The following is an 8608-nucleotide window of genomic DNA, read 5'->3' on the forward strand; positions in this document are numbered from 1 at the left end:
GTAAGTTCTTGCTGTTAGTTCTAGAAAGATCTAGTTGTCTAAAAGTCTGGGACCTCTCCTTTCTCTCCCTCTTGTTCCCTCTGTCACTATATGACATACTGGTTCCCCTTCTCCTTCCACCATAATTGGAAGCTTCCTGAGGTTATCACCAGGAGCAGATGCTGGCACCACACTTCCTGTACAGCCTGCAGAACCATGATCCAAAACAAACTCTTCTTTCTTATAAATTACCCAGCCTCAGGTATTTCTTTATAGCAATACCAGAATGGACTAACACAGTTTGGTCTCTTATAAGAGATGTAGTGGCTTAAAACCACACACATTTACTCTGTTTCTATGGGTCAGGAATCTGGGTACAACTTAGCTGGGTGTTCTGCTTCAGGCTGCAATCAGGATGCTAGCTGGGGTTACAGTAATCTCAGGGCTCCACTGGGAAGAATCCACTTCCAAGCTCATTCATGTGGTTGTTGGCAGGATTCCATTACTTATGAGCTCTTAGACTGAGGGCCTCAGTATCTCCCTTCCTGTTGGCCAGAGGTGACCCTGAGTTCCCTGCCATATGGGCCTCTCCAACATGAGGGTCATTCCAGAAGCTGCCTCCCACAGACTGCATTAACAGAATAACTGAAAGTGATCTGAGGGCTATGGTGCTACCCAAAATGTCATTTATGGCTGGAGAAAGAAGCCTGAACAAAGCACAGGTGAAAAAGGCATTGGAGAAAAACATTCAAACATTTACATTTATATCCATCAAGTTCAAACAGTTCTATAAATTGGATAAAAGCATTTACCTTCTTAAAGGAGGCATCAATTGAGTAGTAAGGAAGGGAGACAGTGTGGTCATAGAGGGATCTCCTGAACTCATTCTTTTTTTTTTTTAACTTTTTTTTAAATTATACTTTAGGTTTTGGGATTCATGTGCAGAACGTGCAGGTTTGTTACATAGGTATACACGTGCCATGGCAGTTTGCTGCACCCATCAACCCGTCATCTACATTAGGTATTTCTCCTAATGCTACCCCTCCCCTAGCCACCCCCACCCAACCCGTGTGTGATGTTCCCCTCCCTGTGTCCATGTGTTCTCATTGTTCAACTCTTACTTATGAGTGAGAACAGGTGGTGTTTGGTTTTCTGTTCTTGCATTAGTTTGCTGAGAATGATGGTTCCCAGCTTCATCCATATCCCTGCAAAGGACATGAACTCATTCTTTTTTATGGCTGCATAGTACTCCATGGTGTATATGTGCCACATTTTCTTTATCCAGTCTATCATTGATGGACATTTGGGTTGGTTCCAAATCTTTGCTGTTGTGAACAATGCTGCAATAAACATACGTGTGCATGTGTCTTTATAGTAGAATGATTTATAATCCTTTGGGTATATATCCAGTAATGGGATTGTTGGGCCAAATGGTATTTCTGGTTCTAGATCCTTGAGGAATCACCACACTGTCTTCCACAATTGTCAAACTAATTTACACCGACAACAAAAAAAGAAAAATTCAGGCCAATATCCCTGATGAGCATTGATGTGAAAATCCTCAATAAAATACTGGCAAACCAAATCCAGCAGCACATCAAAAAGCTTATCCACCACAATCAAGTCAGCTTCATCCCTGGGATGCAAGGCTGGTTCAACATACACAAATCAATAAACATAATCCATCACATAAACAGAACCAATGACAAAAACCACACAATTACCTCAATAGATGCAGAAAAGGCCTTCGATAAAATTCAACACCCCTTCATACTAAAAACTCTCAATAAAGTAGGTATTGATGGAACTCATTCTTTGGAGACCATGAGAACCAGATTTGAAGCCAAGCCTCACCACAGCAAGTACCCTTGGGTTAATTAACACCTTTGAAATGCAATCTTCTTCTCAGTGATCAGGATTGGATGAGCATAGTAGATGATGTATATGTTTGTGTGGGGTGTTTAGCTTATACATAGTGGCTATTAATATCATTATCCTTATGTAGTCCTCTAAAGCAGTGGTCCCCAAACTTTTTGGCATCAGGGACTGGTTTCATGGAAGATAATTTTTCTATGGACTGTGGTGGTCGTTAGGTTCAGGATGAAACTATTCTACCTCAGATCATCAGACATTAGATTCTCATAAGGAACACAAAACCTAGATCCCTCACATGCGCAGTTCACAGCAGGGTTCACACTCCTATGAGAATATAATGCTGCAGCTGATCTGACAGGAGGCAGAGCTCAGGCAGTAATGCTCGCTCACCCACCACTCACTCCTTCTGTGTGGCCCAGTTCCTAACAGGCCACAGACAGTACTGGTCCATGGCCTGGGGGTTGGGGACCCTTGCTCTACAGTTCATCTATGCAACATTAGTGACTGACAGAACCCAAAGGCAATTGTCCTTATTTTTATTTTAAAGAACAAACATGGCAGAAGTCACAACAGTCATTTATACATATGTAAGTACAGATTTTTAGATTGTACCTGAATTTTGTCTAGGTAAGTAATTTTGATAAACTAACTCTCTGCTCAGTGACCTGAACTTTCAGACAGAAAGTGAAAAAGCAGTCTGCTGACATCTAGGCAGAGAGCTCTGCATGAAATGAAATATCACTTGTGTGTATCCTCCCATAAAGCATCACAGGGTCAAGGTGCCAGGAGAGAAACCAACACAGTCATGAACAAGTAGAGTTTCTTCACTCACCAGCAAGAGCCTCTCCCTTGAAGCAACATTGCAACACTCTTTGCACCATAGTTCAGAGAAAAAGAAAAAATACAAAAGGGCTTTTATAAAAAAGATTTATTTTACCTCCTAAACAGGAGACTTTGGGGCTCATACCAGCAGCTTCCTCCTCCTCTTGCATCATCATCACCACGACCATCACCACTACCACCATCACCACTACCACCATCACCACTATTAGTTACTGAGGTTTCCCCTTGTATATTATTTATCTACTGCTTATACAGACTATGCTAAAACCTAGCAGCTTAACAGTTTAAAACAACAGATGTTTATCATCTCACATAGTTTCTGAGAGTTAGGAATTTTGAAGTCATTTATGAGGTTCTTCTGGTTCAGGGGCTATCATGAGGTTGCAGTCAATCTGTCCATAGGGTAGGGGGGACAGGCTACAGCAATCCGAAAGCTCAACTGAGACTGGAGGATTCACTTTCAAGTTTAGATATGTGATTGTTGATTGGAGACTTCAGTTCTTCATCATGTAGGCCTCTTCACAGAGCAATATGGAAACTGGCTTTCCTCAAAGCGAATAATTCTAGAGAAAGTGAACAAGGCAGAAGTAACAGTGCCTTTCCATGACCTATTCTCCAAAGTGTTCGCCATCACTTCCACTTCTATCTGTTTCTTAAAGGCGGGTCACTAAATCCAGCTCACACTCAAGGGGAGAGGAATTAGGCTTTAACTCTTGAAAGAAGAAGTATCAGAGAATTTTTGTATATATTTTTATAATTCCATGTTATTTGGACTATGGTAAACATGATACATATATTTCCTAATGCAAAAGAAGTTGTTTTGTTCATGCAACAAACATGTTGGATGCCTCTGTTCATGCAATAAACTTTTACTGTAGTCTTTACCTCCCCAGGAGTGAGTTCTAAGTGCCTGCTCTGTACAGGAGTTTTAACCCTTGATGGTTCTTTTAACTAGCCTATTATTTTCCTTATGGTACCTGTGAGGGTCTCTTCCTACAGACTTGCAATAGCATCTTCTTGCTTTTGTCCACAAAAACATCCCCACACTTAAATTTCTTTCAAGCCAACTTAACTCATTATAAACTAGTACTTTAAGTCTGCACTTACATATAACATTTATAATTTAACCACTGTCTGCAGCAGAGATATAATACAACATACATAGTGGCTATTATTATCATTATCTTTATGCAAGTTGGTATCTTCTCAAAAATTTAAACACAGAGTTTCCATATGAACCTGAAATTCCACTCCTAGGCATATAACCAAGAGAAATACATATGTATATTCACACAAAAATCTGTAAATGAATGTTTATAGCACACTATTTACAATAAACAGAAAAGTGAAAACAAATTAAATGTCTATCAGCTTAAGGAAGAAGACAAAGATGGCCACTCTTACCACTTCTATTCAACATAGAACTGGAAGTCCTAGCCAGAAAAATTAGGCAAGAAAAAAAAATACAATGGATCCAAATAGGAAAGGAAGAAGTAAAATTATCTGTTTGCAGATGATATGGTGTTATATATAGAAAGCCCTAAAGAGTATATCAAAAAACTGTTAGAACTAATAAATGAATTCAGTAATGTCACAAAATACAAAATCAACATACAAAAAATTAGTAGTGGGGAGGAGCCAAGATGGCCGAATAGGAACAGCTCCAGTCTACAGCTCCCAGCGTGAGTGACGCAGAAGACGGGTGATATCTGCATTTCCATCTGAGGTACCGGGTTCATCTCACTAGGGAGTGCCAGACAGTGGGCGCAGGTCAGTGGGTGCGCGCACCGTGCGTGAGCCAAAGCAGGGCGAGGCATTGCCTCACTTCGGAAGCGCAAGGGGTCAGAGAGTTCCCATTCCGAGTCAAAGAAAGGGGTGGCGGACGCAACTGGAAAATCGGGTCACTCCCACCCGAATATTGCGCTTTTCGGACCGGCTTAAAAAATGGTGCACCATGAGATTATATCCCGCACCTGGCTCAGAGGGTCCTATGCCCACGGAGTCTCGCTGATTGCTAGCACAGCAGTCTGAGATCAAACTGCAAGGCGGCAGCGAGGCTGGGGGAGGGGCGCCCGCCATTGCCCAGGCTTGCTTAGGTAAACAGAGCAGCCAGGAAGCTCGAACAGGGTGGAGCCCACCACAGCTCAAGGAGGCCTGCCTGCCTCTATAGGCTCCACCTCTGGGGGCAGGGCACAGACAAACAAAAAGACAGCAGTAACCTCTGCAGACTTAAATGTCCCTGTCTCACAGCTTTGAAGAGAGCAGTGGTTCTCCCAGCACGCAGCTGGTGATCTGAGAACGGGCAGACTGCCTCCTCAAGTGGGTTCCTGAACCCTGACCCCCGAGCAGCCTAACTGGGAGGCACCCCCCAGCAGGGGCACACTGACACCTCACACGGCAGGGTATTCCAAGACCTGCAGCTGAGGGTCCTGTCTGTTAGAAGGAAAACTAACAAACAGAAAGGACATCCACACCAAAAACCCATCTGTACATCACCATCATCAAAGACCAAAAGTAGATAAAACCACAAAGATGGGGAAAAAACAGAACAGAAAAACTGGAAAACTCTAAAACGCAGAGCGCCTCTCCTCCTCCAAAGGAACACAGTTCCTCACCAGCAACGGAACAAAGTTGGACGGAGAATAACTTTAACGAGCTGAGAGAAGAAGGTTTCAGACGATCAAATTACTCTGAGCTACAGGAGGACATTCAAACCAAAGGCAAAGAAGTTGAAAACTTTGAAAAAAATTTAGAAGAATATATAACTAGAATAACCAATACAGAGAAGTGCTTAAAGGAGCTGATGGAGCTGAAAACCAAGGCTCGAGAACTACGTGAAGAATGCAGAAGCCTCAGGAGTCGATGTGATCAACTGGAAGAAAGGATATCAGCAATGGAAGATGAAATGAATGAAATGAAGTGAGAAGGGAAGTTTAGAGAAAAAAGAATAAAAAGAAATGAGCAAAGCCTCCAAGAAATATGGGACTATGTGAAAAGACCAAATCTATGTCTGATTGGTGTACCTGAAAGTGATGGGGAGAATGGAACCAAGTTGGAAAACACTCTGCAGGATATTATCCAGGAGAACTTTCCCAATCTAGCAAGGCAGGCCAACGTTCAGATTCAGGAAATACAGAGAATGCCACAAAGATACTCCTCGAGAAGAGCAATTCCAAGACACATAATTGTCAGATTCACTAAAGTTGAAATGAAGGAAAAAATGTTAAGGGCAGCCAGAGAGAAAGGTCGGGTTACCCTCAAAGGGAAGCCCATCAGACTAACAGCGGATCTCTCGGCAGAAACCCTACAAGCCAGAAGAGAGTGGGGGCCAATATTCAACATTCTTAAAGAAAAGAATTTTCAACCCAGAATTGCATATACAGCCAAACTAAGCTTCATAAGTGAAGGAGAAATAAAATACTTTACAGACAAGCAAATGCTGAGAGATTTTGTCACCACCAGGCCTGCCCTAAAAGAGCTCCTGAAGGAAGCGCTAAACATGGAAAGGAACAACCGGTACCAGCCGCTGCAAACTCATGCCAAAATGTAAAGACCATCGAGACTAGGAAGAAACTGCATCAACTAACGAGCAAAATAACCAGCTAACATCATAATGACAGGATCAAATTCACACATAACAATATTAACTTTAAATATAAATGGACTAAATGCTCCAATTAAAAGACACAGACTGGCAAATTGGATAAAAAGTCAAGACCCATCAGTGTGCTGTATTCAGGAAACCCATCTCATGTGCAAAGACACACATAGGCTCAAAATAAAAGGATGGAGGAAGATCTACCAAGCCAATGGAAAACAAAAAAAGGCAGGGGTTGCAATCCTAGTCTCTGATAAAACAGACTTTAAACCAACAAAGATCAAAAGAGACAAAGAAGGCCATTACATAATGGTAAAGGGATCAATTCAACAAGAAGAGCTAACTATCCTAAATATATATGCACCCAATACAGGAGCACCAGGATTCATAAAGCAAGTCCTGAGTGACCTACAAAGAGACTTAGACTCCCACACATTAATAATGGGAGACTTTAACACCCCACTGTCAACATTAGACAGATCAACGAGACAGAAAGTCAACAAGGATACCCAGGAATTGAACTCAGCTCTGCACCAAGTGGACCTAATAGACATCTACAGAACTCTCCACCCCAAATCAACAGAATATACATTTTTTTTCAGCACCACACCACACCTATTCCAAAATTGACCACATACTTGGAAGTAAAGCTCTCCTCAGCAAATGTAAAAGAACAGAGATTATAACAAACTGTCTTTCAGACCACAGTGCAATCAAACTAGAACTCGGGATTAAGAATCTCACTCAAAACCGCTCAACTACATGGAAACTGAACAACCTGCTCCTGAATGACTACTGGATACATAACAAAATGAAAGCAGAAATAAAGATGTTCTTTGAAACCAACGAGAACAAAGACACAACATACCAGAATCTCTGGGACACATTCAAAGCAGTGTGTAGAGGGAAATTTATACCACTAAATGCCCACAAGAGAAAGCAGGAAAGATCCAAAATTGACACCCTAACATCACAATTAAAAGAACTAGAAAAGCAAGAGCAAACACATTCAAAAGCTAGCAGAAGACAAGAAATAACTAAAATCAGAACAGAACTGAAGGAAATAGAGACACAAAAAACCCTTCAAAAAATTAATCAATCCAGGAGCTGCTTTTTTGAAAGGATCAACAAAATTGATAGACCGCTAGCAAGACTAATAAAGAAAAAAAGAGAGAAGAATCAAATAGATGCAATAAAAAATGATAAAGGGGATATCACCACTGATCCCACAGAAATACAAACTACCATCAGAGAATACTACAAACACCTCTACGCAAATAAACTAGAAAATCTAGAAGAAATGGATAAATTCCTTGACACATACACTCTCCCAAGACTAAACCAGGAAGAAGTTGAATCTCTGAATAGACCAATAACAGGAACTGAAATTGTGGCAATAATCAATAGTTTACCAACAAAAAGAGTCCAGGACCAGACGGATTCACAGCCGAATTCTATCAGAGGTACAAGGAGGAACTGGTACCATTCCTTCTGAAACTATTCCAATCAATAGGAAAAGAGGGAATCCTCCCTAACTCATTTTATGAGGCCAGCATCATTCTGATACCAAAGCCGGGCAGAGACATAAACAAAAAAGAGAATTTTAGACCAATATCCTTGATGAACATTGATGCAAAAATCCTCAATGAAATACTGGCAAAACGAATCCAGCAGCACATCAAAAAGCTTATCCACCATGATCAAGTGGGCTTCATCCCTGGGATGCAAGGCTGGTTCAATATACGCAAATCAATAAATGTAATCCAGCATATAAACAGAGCCAAAGACAAAAACCACATGATTATCTCAATAGATGCAGAAAAAGCCTTTGACAAAATTCAACAACCCTTCATGCTAAAAACTCTCAATAAATTAGGTATTGATGGGACGTATCTCAAAATAATAAGAGCTATCTATGACAAACCCACAGCCAATATCATACTGAATGGGCAAAAACTGGAAGCATTCCCTTTGAAAACTGGCACAAGACAGGGATGCCCTCTCTCACCACTCATATTCAACATAGTGTTGGAAGTTCTGGCCAGGGCAATCAGGCAGGAGAAGGAAATAAAGGGTATTCAATTAGGAAAAGAGGAAGTCAAATTGACCCTGTTTGCAGACGACATGATTGTATATCTAGAAAACCCCATTGTCTCAGCCCAAAATCTTCTTAAGCTGATAAGCAACTTCAGCAAAGTCTCAGGATACAAAATCAATGTACAAAAATCACAAGCATTCTTATACACCAATAACAGACAAACAGAGAGCCAAATCATGAGTGAACTCCCATTCACAATTGCTTCAAAGAGAATA

General features: G+C 41.1%; 2 annotated features.

The window, feature by feature from the left end:
• Nucleotides 4139–4655: an enhancer, noted in NCBI's record as "NANOG-H3K4me1 hESC enhancer chr13:48355836-48356352 (GRCh37/hg19 assembly coordinates)". NCBI's record gives its function as "activates a minimal SCP1, AML or CMV promoter by ChIP-STARR-seq in naive H9 embryonic stem cells {active_cell/tissue: H9 hESC(naive)}" and the evidence as "EXISTENCE:reporter gene assay evidence [ECO:0000049][PMID:30033119]".
• Nucleotides 4656–5172: an enhancer, noted in NCBI's record as "NANOG-H3K4me1 hESC enhancer chr13:48356353-48356869 (GRCh37/hg19 assembly coordinates)". NCBI's record gives its function as "activates a minimal SCP1, AML or CMV promoter by ChIP-STARR-seq in naive H9 embryonic stem cells {active_cell/tissue: H9 hESC(naive)}" and the evidence as "EXISTENCE:reporter gene assay evidence [ECO:0000049][PMID:30033119]".

Source organism: Homo sapiens, chromosome 13, assembly GCF_000001405.40.
Source record: "Homo sapiens chromosome 13, GRCh38.p14 Primary Assembly".
Taxonomy (NCBI): domain Eukaryota; kingdom Metazoa; phylum Chordata; class Mammalia; order Primates; family Hominidae; genus Homo; species Homo sapiens.